Below are 14397 nucleotides of genomic sequence, written 5' to 3'. Positions count from 1 at the left end.
GCTTAGCAGTCAAGCTGGTGAGAAAATACCTCTCGTCCCATTCCATGAGGGTATTCTTAGAGTATATCTGTTATTTCTCTGGGTAAGGGCTTGTAGAGTAAATCATTTATTCATTCATTCGTTTGAGATGAGCAGGGACCCCTCTTAGGGACCATATGTCCCTGAGTTGCTTTTTAGAAACTCAGACCCCAAACAATGGATCTGCTGGCATGCAGACCTCAGATAAGAGGGAATAAAGGATTGAACTCTGACAGCTCTTCTTTTTTCTAAATTTCTTCCTGAGGGCCCTGAAGGAGGTCACACCCACAAACCAGAGCTAACATTCTTTTCTGCTGATCTAAAAGAAAAAAAGGTTTTGTTTTTTTTTTAAAAAGACAGAGTCTCGCTCTGTTGCCCAGGCTGGAGTGCAGTAATGCAATCACAGCTCACTGCAGCCTCAAACTCCTGGGTCAAGCAATCTTCCTGCTTCAGCCTCCCAAGCATTTAGGACTGCAGGCATGTACCACCATGCCTGGCTAATTTTTTAAAAGTATTTTTATAGAAACGGTATCTCACTATATTGCCCAGGCTGGTATTGAACTCCTGGCCTTAAGTGATCCTCCTACTTTGGCCTCCCAATGTGCTGGGATTACAGGTGTGAGCCACTTCACCCAGGCTAATCCCAAATTTTTAGACAAAGCTTTGCCTCCTTAACCAATCGCAAATCAAAACACCTTTCAATCCACCTTTTGACCTGTGGGCCCCCACTTCGAGATGTCCTGCTTTTCTAGGCAGACTGATGTATAGTCTCCATGTATAGATTTATGACTTTGCCTATAACCTCTGCCTCATCCCGTTAAAAGCCCTTACCTCTAAGCCATCTGGGAGTTTGGGTTTTAAGTGCGAGCTGCCTGATTCTCCTTGCTTGGCGCCCTGCAATAAATTACCTCCCCTTCTCTTGCTCCAATCTCATTGTCAGTGTTTGGCTTCGCTGTGCTGGGCAAGTGGACCCCAGTTCAGTTCAAAAACACATTCACTCATTCAATGAATGCTGTGTTGCCAGCAGCATGCTGAGGACACAAAATGACATCACAGCCCTCCTCCCCCTGGGTGATAGTGAGTAGGGGTGGCAGACATCTACAGTGACCCCTGGGAAGGAAAACCATGCTTTTTACGCCCTGAAAGGAATTGACCCTCCAGAACAGGGATCAAAGCGAAAGGTCAGGGCTACAGTGACTTCCTAGATGCCTAATAGTCTTTCCCTTCCCAGAATTCCTCTAAGTTTATTTTTTGTGAAGATTTTGTGTTTTGTCTTATGTCAACTTACCAGGTGAGACCATTTCAATAGGTAGATGGGCCTTAAGGCATTTATGCGGTAATATTTGTGCTCTCCACACCATAGGGCAACTCCAGTCCCCTCTGTGCCTATGGCCACACAGGAAACTGGGTGCTTAGAGGAATTAAGCCCAGATGGAATGGGACAGTAAAATTAATCAAATATTTACATCCCCCCTGGGTGAAGGGAACCTAAAATTGGGACCTCTTATGAGGCTGATTTCATGCAACACACACAGCCTGAGGCCATGGGGGAAGGTGATTAGAAGAGAAATAAATCACAGCACAGTTAGGGCTGGGTGGATTCCCTCCTCCTCCCTGCCTCCCCACCAGCTAAAGGAGAGCAGCTGAGCCTTTGGAAGAAACAACACCCTAAATAGAGAGAAAATTTCACACATATGCTCTGCAGATTTTCAGAAGACGAAATAATAAAGTACTTGTGATAGCAAGTAGCCTTTCTTGTATTATTTTTCAAAGACTGCTGGATTTAACCCCCTGTGGCTTCTAGGCTGCCCAAGTGAGTTCATAAACAATAATATTATTCTAATGCCTTAGAGGCCATTGACCACTCTTTGCAGTAAGGTTATGAAAAATGGTCATCACTGAGGTTGAGGGCATTAACAATTCCTGGCTCAATTTAAATCTAAATGATTAAAACAATTCTATGATACAATTCTTGAACTCTTGGCCTCAAGTGATCCTCCCACCTTGGCCTCCCAACATGCTGGGATTATAGATGTGAGCCACTGCACCCCGGCTAATTAGATAATCTAACTGTATTATATTGCTAGGGCTGCCATAACCAAGTACCAAGGACTGGTGGCTTAAATGACAGACATTTATTTTCTCACAGTCCTGGAGGCTGGAAGTCCAAGATCAAGGTGTTGGCAGAGTTGGTTTCCTCTGAGGCCTCTCTCCTGGGCTTGCAGATGACCGTCTTCTCCCTGTGTCTTCACATGGGCTTCCCTCTGTGTGTGTCTGTGTCCTAATCTCTTCTTCTTGTAAGGACACCAGTAATATTGGATTAGGGCCCACTCTGCTGACGTCATTTTTCACTTAATTTTCTCTTTAAAGACCCTATCTCCAAATACTCTGAGGAGCTGGGGGTCAGGGCCTCAGTATGTGTATTTTTGGGGAACACAGTTGAGCCCAAAACACCAACCAAGAGCTACTCTTCACACAAAAGCAATGGTTTATGTGTTTCTCTTTCTTTACACACAGAGGCCTATGTAGAATTCTGTGTTCTGCTTTTTTCATCAACACTCTTCCGTATTCCATTTTTTTTTTTGTCTCAAGGTCTTCATATTTATCTTTCACAGCACAGCTGCCTTGTATCATGCAAGTGGTATACCATGGACAATATGGGAAAAATAGATACCGTGGACTACTAGAGAATGGAGGGAGGGGGGATGGGTTAAAAACAATACCTATCAGGTACTTTGCTTACTACTGGGGTGATGGGATCTATACTCCAAACCTCAGCATCATGCAATATTCCCATGTAACAAATCTGCACATGTACCTCCTGTATCTAAAATAAAAGTTAAAATTTAAAAACAAAGTGGTATACCATCACATATTCTTAGGCATTTAGGTTGTTTCCAGTTCCTCAAACATAAATACAAGGGAAAACGAAAACAGAGTCAATCAAACAGGCAGGCAGCTTCGCAGGGCAGACAATGAGAGCCTTGCCATTGTCAGGCCCAGGTTTGCGTCTGGGCTCAGCCAGCTGTTACTGTGCAAACTTGGGAGGCTGGGACTTAATCTTCCTGAGAGTCAGTTTCCTCTTCTGTAGAATCATCCTATATTATGAGGCCGTGAGAATAACCAAATTATATAATATCTGCAAAGCTCTTACTTAGGGCAAGGGCTCAAAGTAACTCCTTTCTTCTCTTGTTCATTAACACCTTTGTATGTAGAATTTACCTGTGATTCTTCAAAGTACCACCAAAATTCCCTCTACCTCCAAAAACTTTGAGCCAATTTATACTTTTATTGCCCAAGTAGCTGCACCTTGAGGCCTATCCCAGTTATTATTGCTGTGTAGCACATCACCCCAAAATACAGTGTTGCCAAACACCTGTTCCTAATGCTCACTGATGCTGTGAGTTTGGAATGTAAACAGGTGTGAAATAAATAATTAAAAATCTCAGCTGTTGGAACTTTAAATTGCTTTCAGCCTCAAAGGAATGTGCTTATGAAACCTGAGTCACGTGACAGGCAGCTGTAAACTTGGTCTCTCTGATTATAGATTAGCCTTCTTCCTTACCTACACTGTTTTGTGAAATGTTGCAAATGATTAAAGGGTGCCAGGGAAGACTCCTTCCCTCTTAGTGTTGGTCTTTATTATAGATTAACATCCCTCTTACATTTTCCACACGAAGACTTTGTGACTATGTTAAATATACTCTTTTAAATTGGAAAGCAAATGAAAGCAAGCCATACAGAAAAGAAAACAAACTATCAAATTGTTAGAACCCATAAACCAGGCTTGTATAGAAAATGTTTTAATCCTGTTAAATTTCTTTATTTTCCTCCTATATAAGCCAGACCTTAACTTTTCACTTCAGAGCACTAACTCCATTTCTGTGGAATCCTTGTTTTCTGAATGGTCATTCCCAGCTTTTTACTTGAATAAACTCTTTAAAGCTGATTCCAATCCTTTCACTTATTTCAGGTTGACACAGGGCATGAGGATGGCTTGTCTCTGCTCCCCGATGTCTGGGCCTCAGCTGGGAAGAATTCATTGGCTGGGGCTGAAGGCTTCCCTGCTGGAAACTTCCCCACATCTGGCACCCAGGCTGGGTAGACTGAAAAGCTCAGCTCAGTGGAGGCTGTTGACAGGGCCACCAAGACAGGGACTTCCTGGGGAGCCTGGGCTTCCACAGCATGTTCTGACCATGGATGAAAACCAGCACAGGCCCATCCAACTCCAAGAGAAGGCACATAGACCCCGCTTCTCCATGAAGAGAGTGCCAGAGGACATGCAGCCATTTTAATAAACCACTGCAAGCCCCTTTGGTGAATTAGGGGGTCATGGGCCAGGACACAGTGAGGGCTGAGCTGCCACCTTCTCTGTCTTAGGGAGGGGGGAAGGAGAACACACAGATGTTAACAATTTTTGCCCTGTTTCATTGGGAACTAAACGCATTATTTTAGTCCTTCCAAACATAGACAGGAACTCTCGTCATTCTGGGCCTCAGTTTCCCCATCTGTAAAATGAAGTAGTTGGAATGGATGATCTTTTAAAGTCTATTTTGACTTTTTAAATCTAAGATTCCACCAAGCCCCGCCCCTGTGATTTGGCAGATGAAAATCCCTAGCGGATTGTTCTTAAAGACCACCTGAGCTGGAGCCACACGGCTCCCACCTGCCTCCCGGGCTGCTTCTTGATAGAGCAGGAGGATCGCCATCTTGGACAAGCCTCTCATTCTAAAGTTCACCTTAATCAAAAACCACCAAAATCCAAAGGACATCAGCCTAATGGCTAAGGTCAGCACGACCTTAAACCATAAATAACATCTCCAACCAGAAACATTTCAAATTCCTCCCCACCCAGAGACATGCTAGTCCCGAGGTCATCCTGCTCTGGCTGGGAAGATGCCATCCCTGAGATAACCCCCCTCCAGCCAGAAAGATGTCATCCCCAAGGTAACCTCCCCTCCTTCTGGTGACATTCTAGCCCTGCCAGAAAACTTCTCCCTCACACAGAAATATTCCAAGCTTGTGATAAGCCCTCTCACTCTAAAACCAATATATACTTTTAGTCTATAAGAGAGAGTGCTCCTGACCGAAATCGGCCAGAAGCCCCTCTCAGGTTTATTTTTCTCTAACATAAATCTGTCTTTAACTGTCAAGCCACATTTTGTGTTTCTTTCCTCTTTCTTTAAAACTCTTACACTTCTCAGGCTGAAGGTCCTTTTGAGAGCACCTGTTGCAGTACCTGCTTCTACAGAGGCTTTCCTTACACCCACTCCCATGTCACCCTCTCTCAATTCCATCAGTATTGGGTCTCTCTGAGGCTCTGTGTTCAACTGCCAGGCTCAGCTCGGCTTCCCTCAAAGGCCCTCTGTGTTCAGGTCTCTCAGGTCTGCCCTGACCATCCCTCCTGAATGCATCTAAGCAAAAATATATTATAGGAAGCTTGGAAATGTTATGCTAAGTAAAAGAAGCCAGTCACACAAAAGGGCACTTATTTTATGATTCCATTTATACAAAATGTCCAGAAGTCTATAGAGACAAAAAAAGTCAATCAGTGGTTGCCTAGGGCTAGGCTAGGGTGGAGAAGGCAGTGTTGAGGGAAAATGGGGAACTGTTGCTCTAGAACATTGGGTTTCTCTGGAAGATGATGAAAATGTTCTAAAATTGGTTTTGGTGATAATTGTTCAACTCTGTGAATATACTAAAAGTCAATGGCTGATACACTTTAAAAAAAAGCTTCTCTGGTGGTAAAACCCACTCTCCCAACCCTCTCACCCCCACAGCAAGTGAGTGACAGGTGTCAGAACTATAGATGCTAGACTCCGCTCCCACCTCTGCCCACTCTCCCCGTGTTCCTCCCAGTGCTCACCATCAGGTGCCACACCCAGGAAAAATGGAATGCAATTTAGCAGAGTTCTTAAAAAGCACCCGAGAAAATACCATTTCGATTACTACATGAGTGAGGGAAAATGCATATTCATAGCATATTTTATTATTTGATTCCATCATTGTGTTTTATCTGTTTGTGTCATACTGTCAAAGACAAGATTCTAAAATGCCAATCTGGCATACTTATTCTGAGAAGGAAATTCCAGGAAGTTGTTCAGGCATTTTCCCCCCTGAAACAGCACTGCCAGTAAGCACTTACTGTCTACATCACTCATGTGACAAGTAAAAAGACCCACCCTGCATCCTAAGGGTTGTCACTGAGAATCCTAAGTGTTGTCCTCTGAGAATAGGTCTGGGGAGGGCCAGGCATTATGGCTTTTACAGCCTTGTGCTCTCCTTTTTCCTCTCTCTCAGCAATCCTCTCACCCTGCCATCAGCATCTCGTTTCGAGAAGGGGATAGACAGCTATGTGCTGGACGATGCTGAAGCATCTCCCTCCTCCTGGAGCCTGCATCCCTATCACTCCTCTCCTGCCTCCTCTCCTCCCTTGAGGCCTTTCCAGCCCCACCTCACCTTATCTCATGGATCTCAGGATGCTGGTGTCTGGGATCCAATTCTAGGACCCCGGCTCTCATTTGAAGAGTGAGGGAGCACGAGGGTTACTTACCCTGCAGCCCCACAGTGTCCCTTGCTGCTGTCGCAGGGCTTCTCTTGCTCCCTGGGTGCTCCTGTTAGCACAAGATAACACAGTCAAACCTCTTTTGGGCAGGATTCCAAAACAATCACCATAATTCCTCCCGCTCCCAATATGGATTCACGTTGCTTGATTAAACATACCCGTTTAAAGTAAAAGCCTCATTAATATCCAGGGTTGTAAGCCCATTTTGTTTGGCTAACTGCTTTCCTTACTGTTTTATTTGATTTATTCCTCTGCCAAACTCACATCATAAGGTCTCCTCTCCATTTAATTTAGCATCCAAACAAAACGCGCCTGTCTCATCAGGCCCACGCAGTGTTCAGGAGTGGAAAGTCTGAAGGGGATCTCACCTCTCACTCTTTCCAGCAGTCAAATTTCCCCCTTTCTTTCCCTGAGAAGAGGGTCCCATGATATTTCAATTCTGGGAAGATGAGGACAACAAAGCAAAACACAAAAGAATAAATGAAGGTATGCTTTCTGCATGGGACTTGAGGGACATTGGCTTAAATCCATCAAATTCAAGTTAAGTTCTGCTCTGGGCCAACCCCACTGCTGGGAATCTTCACTGACAGGCTTGTAGGATCACAGGGATGATCTTCCCAGGAAAAATGGGGAGGATGATGATGGTGGTGGTGGTGGTGGTGATGGACATATACTAGTCCTATTCACATTGATGACATTATCCCTCCAGGGTCACAGCTAACACGGGGTCATCTTGGCTGGAGTGCAGTGTTCTTTTCCACCTCCCCCCTGGATGGCTAACAGTCTTAACAGTCTTTCTTTCTTTCTTTTTTTATTTCTTGTAAGACAGAGTCTCACTCTGTCACCCAGGCTGGGGTGCAGTGGTGCGACCTTGGCTCACTGCAACCTCCACCTCCCGAGTTCAAGCAATTCTCCTGCCTCAGCCACCCCAGTAGTTGGGACTACAGGTGCTGCCACCACGCCCAGCTAATTTTTTGTTGTCGTTGTATTTTTAGTAGAAGTGGGGTTTCACCATGTTGGCCAGGCTGTTCTCCAACTCCTGGCCTCAAGTGATTTGCCTGCCTCAGCCTCCCAAAGTGCTGGGATTACAGGCGTGAGCCCCTGTGCCCAGCTTAGCAGTCTTCAACTTCTATAAGGAACCACTCTACACCGGGCACTATCCTGGCTGACATTCTCCGCATAATCCTGAACTTTACGGTTTTCCAGACGGGAGCACAGGGGGAAAAAATGTCACTCTGGAGCTGACCCCTGCTAGTCCCTAGAGCAGGACTCTGATAATTATGGGGCAGGAGGGAGCAGACTGTGCTGTCTCTATTACACATAACGCTCTGCCCCCACCTTCCTGCTAGAAGAAGATTCTGATCCTCCTCCCCCAGGGAGAGCTCTCTCCCCTCCCATGTCCTGAGAGAATGACCATGTGGGGGTGGTTCCAGGGAGAGCTCCTGTCCTTCGGATGTGTTGAGATCTGGTGGAGGGCTTTGTAGGGGATGTGAGAGCCTGTGCTGAGGGGTGTGTCTCTGCCTTTCTCCCTCACGCTCTCTAGAACATGCTGGGGGAAATGTGTCGGAAACTGTTGTCCACACCTCTCGATTCTTCTGATAGAAATATTGAAGAGGGCGCCAAAAATCAACACTCTAAAGGGAAGGGGTGGAGTGCAAAACCAAAAACCTCCTATTCCTACAAATCAATGCCGCACAAATCTAGAGATTACTGGGAGCCCCTCCTCCATCTCTTTTACAGCGGTAAGTTGTGTTGTGAAGGCTGAGGACAGAATGGTCAACTTAGGGGGCTCCAAAGAATTGCAGGGCTGGCAGCAGGTGTCAGCGGGGAAGTGAAGAGGAGCTACTGGGAACGCCGTGATTTATCCATCATCAGGAAGATCTGTGGGTGATTTCACGTTGCAAAATGAATTTAAGTTGACTGTAGGTTACTACAAGATAATTTCACACTAACTTACCTGCATTCGAAATACATCCTGAGTGGGAAGGAAGGGGTCTCATGGCAGAGTACACTCAGGGGCCTCCACCCCATGCCGAGGCAACCATTATTCCCTTTCCTGAGGACAATTATTTCCTCACAGAATGTTTTTGGCTGTTTCATCAAAATAAGTGCATGCATGGAATCCTGTTAAGCATGTGGACTTCATCCATCATGTATGATGTGGCAGGGGAGAAAAATGGTGAGATTCACTGGTCTGGATAATTTCCAAAGGCCCACTTCTCATCTGCAATTGAGGAGGTCAGGGCTGCCTGCCTTGGGAGTGTTGGAGAGAGGAGCCATAGCTTTCCACTCACTCTCACTTACACAGACGGGTTTAAAGCCAAAACAAAGGGAAGCCTCCTTCATCTCACACACACATCGCTTCTAAAAAACACCCACAAGCTGCCTAAAATGGCTATCTGGCAGTGAGGAGGAAAGAACACTAAAATGGGGGTTGAAATGGTCAGGGATGCCAAGACGAAGTCCTGGGCTGTAGCAGAGACAGTCCAGTGCATTGTCTATGGAGTGAGGGGGCTAAGCTGCATCTTATTCGCACTTCACATAAGACTAAGGTCAATTGTCCCCACTACTTGGGGCAGATGGGTGCTGACACCCTGCCTTCTCCAACCGTTAAAGAAACCAATGACTAAATTCTTGGGCTTACAGGGTAGCGGATAAGAAACAACTTGGTGAAAAACTGAAACTGAAACGGCGCTCCAAAGAGTAAGAAACTAGTAGCTAACAGAAATTCTTGTGTTTGCAGAGTAGCAGATAAGAAAAAAACCAACTCGCTGAAACACTGAAACTCTCTCTGCTTGTGAGATCAAGAAAAGCCGGCTGAAATCAGTTGGAACCAAGGTGGCCAACTGGAGCTTTTGCAAAACGAGGTTGCTGACGTCAGAGCCTGAATTTCCACTGCAGGTTTCATTCTAACTCCCTTTGAATTTGCACATGGGACCCATGAGGTAGCATGGAGACATAACTGCGCATGCCCAAGACTTTTCAGCCCTCCCCTTTCCGTCCACCAATCACCTTCTGATCCCAGAATCCACCCTCTGAACGTTTTCTAGTAAAATACTGCCTTGAAGCCAGCCTGGGGAAACAGATTTGAGCTTGACTCTTGTCTCCTTGTGAGTTGACTTTTGACATAAAGCTTTTCTTTTTTTAAAACCCTGGTGTCATAGTACTGGTTTCCAGCACATTGGGCAGTGAGTCCCTTTTGCTGGATAACAGTGCTGATGGAGATGATGGGGAAGCCAGAGCCCCCAGGCTACACCTTGGTGCTCTGCTAACTGGACCAAGGTCTGACTCCAAAGTCAGAGGGCAATTCGAGATTCTTCTCTTCGTGCCACCCATAGGATATCACATTAAACTTTAGCCTAATGCTGAGGGAATGTGGGAATTTGCCCAATAGTAATGATGCCCAGTGGAAACTAGGTTTCTCCTGCGGATTACCCTCTGCCCACACATTCCCCACCCTGTGCCTTGCGCATCCAGTGGCTACCAGTGTATCCCACCTAATCCAACATCTTGCTGCAATCCTGAAAGGGCTTCTAGACTGGCCTCCATCACTAAACCAACAGGAATCCTCCACTATGAACCAGCAGGGTTCTGCGTTGTTGTTGCTATGGTGACAGTTATCCAAGAGTACATCAAGAGAAAAATAGCCACGTTTTAGCAGGTGCACAGTCCTAGAACAACATACTGGTACTGGCTCATAAAGTTTTCTAGTTTTCCCTAAGGCTTTTAAAATTAGGAACCAATATGTAACCGCTCGGAACACAATTTCCCTAGCAACCAGAGAAATGCCAGTCCCTCCTGTTAGGGAGGTTAAAAATAACATTGCATGTGCCACTGTAACCAACTGGAATCTCCAAATTCCCTTCTGTAACAGCCCCCTGGTCACAGCAGATGTCCAACTCCCCAAATCTCATCTATCATCAACATAGCCTTTCCAAGGCATGAATGCAATTCACCTTCATAGAATTACTCAGGTCTCTTTCTGCCTACAGAAAAAAAGAGTCATAGTCAGCTTGGTCTGCATAAGCAGGGGCTACCCTCCTTTCCTGCCCCTTTCCCACATAGCACCCATGTTCTAGGCATAAGCATTTCCTCAAAATTCTCTGACCAGACCATATGCCTGCCTGCCTTCTTTCATTCTTTCTCTTCTCTTCCTTCCTTTTCTTTTTCTTCCTTCCTTCCTTCCTTCTTTCCTTTCTTCCTCCCTCCCTCTCTCCTTTTTCCCTTCTTTCCTTTCCTCCTTCTTTCCTCCCTCCCTCCCTTTTTCCTTCCTTCCTTTCCTTTCCTTCCTCCCTTTCTTCCTTTCAATGTGATTAGCATACAAAAACATAAAAATATCTTAAGTGATCAGTTCAAAGAATTTTGACAATTGTGTATGCAAGGCAAAAACACGGAACATTTCTACCACTCTAGAAAGTTCTCTCATGCACCTTTTCAGTCAGTCTACCACCCTTCAACCCCAAGGCAACCATTTTCTGACATCAATTGCCACAGATTAGTTTTGTCTGTTTATAAACTTCATAAATGGGATCAAACTGAATGTATTATTTTGCTTATTTCATTGTGTGACTATGCCACATTGTAAAAATCTATTCTTCTGTTGATGAACATTTGGTCTGTTTCCAGTTTGGGATTATCTGTTTCCAGTTTGGGATAAGGCTCTTACGAATATTTTTGTGCTAGCCTTTTTGTGGACACTTGTTTTTATATATTTTGGGCAAATATCTAGGAGTGGAATTGCTAGGTCACAAGGTAGTTGTATGGTTAAATTTACTAGAAACCATCACACAGTTCTCCAAAGTGGTTATGCCTTTTGACTTTTTCATCATCATCTATGAGAATTCCAGTTGTTCCACATCATTACTAAAATTTAGTATTGTCTGTTTTTTTCTTTTATTTTAGCCATTCTAGTGTGTGAATAGTAGAATCTCATTGAGGCTTTAATTTGCATTTTCCTGATGACTAATAATGTGAGCATATTGTCACGTGTTTGTTGTTCATTTGTACATGTTCTTTTGTGAAGTACCTACTTAAGTCTTTTGTTCATTTTAAAATTGAATTTATTATTTTATTAATAACATATCCTGAATATAAACATTTTTTTCAGGTATGTGCTTTACAAATAGTTTTCCCTGTTTGTGGTTTGTCTATTCATTTTCTTAATGGCATATTTGAATAGGCAGAAGTTTTAATTGTAGTGAAGTCCAATTTACCAGTTGTTTTTCTTTTATGGTTAGTCCTTTCTGTGTCTTGTCTCATGCATCTCTGATTAACTCAAATTTGCAAAGAATCTCTCATATATTATTCTAGAAGCTTTTTAGTTCTGGCTTTTTCATACAGGCTTTGGGTCAGCCAAATTGTGTGTGTGTGTGTGTCTGTGTGTGTCTGTGTGTGTCTGTGTGTGTGTGTGTGTGGTGCTAAAGACAGGGGTTGAGGTAGTTCCAGTTTCCTTTCACCATTGAATTTCTTTGGTGCCCTTGTGAAAAACCAGTTGACTATAAAAGTATAGGTCTATTTCTAGACTCGGTTTGCTAGACTCTATTTCTAGACTCTGTCATTGACCTGGGTGTTTATCCTTAAACAATGCCATGCTGTCTTGGTTACTGTGCTTTAGAGGAAACCTTGAAATCGTGCAGTGTAAGTTCTTTGACACTTTTCTTTGTCGAGATAGTTTTGGCATTTCTAGAGCCTCTGAATCTTCATTAAAATTTCAGAATTAAATTTTCTGTTTCAACAAAAAAGGTGCTGGAATTGATAGTTGAAACTGTAGATCAATTTAGAATGAATAAACATTTTAAAATATTGAGCCTTCTAATTCATAAACATAGTATATCTCTACACTTATTTGTGCCTTCATTAACTCCTCTCAATAATGTTTGTAGTTTTCAGCATAAAATTATTACACATCTTTCATTAGATTTACTCCTAGATTTGATTAAAAATCAAAAACACTTGTTTGACTATTCAAGTGCTATTGTAAATAATGTTTTATTTCTAATCAAATATTATCACTTGTTACTTCACCTGTGTACTTTTGCACATGTAGTTCCAGACACATGGACTGCTTTTCTTCTTGTCTGTTTACCTGCCTGCTGCTCTTCCTTCCAAACGCCACCTTCTCTCTGTCCTTCTAGGCTGAGTTAGTAATCATATCTCTACATTGTGATCAAGGCCTGTGTGGGTCTAGTTTGTCCCATTTCATGTTTTAGAATGCTTTATCTTTACATTTATCTAATTAATATGTAATATTTACATGATTTTTGGTATTCATGTCAATTCTAGGCAGCATTTTACAGTGATAAATTATAGCCGCATAAAACTTTTTGTTCTGCCACTCATTAGGTATATAATTTTGTCTCTTTGTAAGTAAGAAGAAAATGTGGGCAAGCATGTTTCTTGCACAAATTACACATTTGTAATGAGGAAGCCTGGTTGCTCATCTCCAAGAAACTGGAAAGGTAAAATGTGTTCAATGCATTTCATAGAGTACCATCAACAATTAGAAATAGTGAATTCCATGCATATAGAGCAACATGATTGGATCATGAGAAGTGCAATTGGGTGGAAAGTAAGAAATACATAACACAAAAGCATTTGTGTACATTAAAAATTCACCTAACATCGAAAAAATGCAACAAAACAACAAACCCTATTTTTCAAGAACACATTCACATGAAAGTATACATTGGAATCATTGTAGGGGAGGAAGGGTGTGTTATAGGAGTGGGAAATCAGGGATAAAAGGAAATCAATTAACCAAGGAAGGGTCCTAGCAGGTCACTGATGACAACATACTGGGAAACAAGGAGTTGGAGAAACTCAAGCTACTGTTGCAAAGATCCCAAACAGAAAATAGAAAAGGTAAAAACAAGTTTTTGAGATGATGAAGTGAGATAATCCATTAAAAGTGGTTAGCAAGTACCTAACACATAATAAACACTGAATAATTTTATCAAAGTGATATTAGTAGACTACTAATATGTGCCAAAAAGCACAACTCCATGTGGAAAGGGATCTTGTCTAACTTGTTTATCCCAATATCTTGAGCACTGAAACAGTGCCTAGTGTATTGTAGATGCTCAATAAATATTTGTAGTGTGAATGACAGGCACTGAGATTGAATGATGAGCAAAAGCAATATTATTTCTGCCCTTATAGAGCTAATATCTTGGAAGGGAGACAATCACTAATAAAAAAAATTAAATAAATATAAGATTGCAACTGTATCAAGTACAAGTGCTCCTGGTTCTAGGAGAGTCTGTTAATGGAATGATGTGAACTGGTCAGAGAGATCAGAAAAAGCTTCCCAAGGAAGTGACTGCTGAACTAAGATGAGTAGGGATTAACTAGGTGAACAGAGGAGGAGGATTATTTAGATAGAAAGAATAGCATATGCAAAATCCCTGTGCCAGATAAGTGCTTGGTAAATACAAGAGCCTGAAAGAAGGCCAGTGAGCTGGGGCTCAGAGAATGAGAGGCCCCAGTCAGGCAGGAGGCTAGAAAGGGAGGTGAGGTAATAATGCTCAAGGCCTCATCAACCATGCCAAGGAATTGTTTTTATTTCCCCTGCAATGGAAAATGGGTGAAGGGCTTTAAGAGCGGAGAGACACAATCAGATATGGATTTTTAGAAAATTGTTCAGGCATCAATCTGGGGCCAACTGGAGGAACCCACAGTAGATGGTGAATCTCGTTGAGAGGACACTGCCATAGCACAGGCGAGAGCTCACTGAAGCTTGCACTAGGCTGATGTTGGAGAGAGACATGGCTGGATGGTAAACGGTGGCTAGAATCATGACCATCTCACCACTGATG

General features: G+C 43.2%; 1 long non-coding RNA gene across 1 annotated transcript; it reads right to left on the bottom strand.

Moving 5' to 3' along the window:
- Nucleotides 1-6461: 6461 nt before the first annotated feature.
- On the bottom strand, nucleotides 6462-9334 carry LOC105373164 (uncharacterized). The gene is made up of 3 exons (XR_949259.3): nucleotides 9228-9334; nucleotides 8541-8723; nucleotides 6462-6632 (listed from the first exon to the last, which is right to left on the bottom strand). It is a non-coding gene; the product is annotated as an uncharacterized LOC105373164 (long non-coding RNA).
- Between the last annotated feature and the right edge of the window lie 5063 nt (nucleotides 9335-14397).

This window comes from Homo sapiens, chromosome 1 (genome assembly GCF_000001405.40).
Source record: "Homo sapiens chromosome 1, GRCh38.p14 Primary Assembly".
NCBI classification, from domain to species: Eukaryota; Metazoa; Chordata; class Mammalia; order Primates; family Hominidae; genus Homo; species Homo sapiens.
This window is presented reverse-complemented; position numbering and strand designations above follow the sequence as displayed.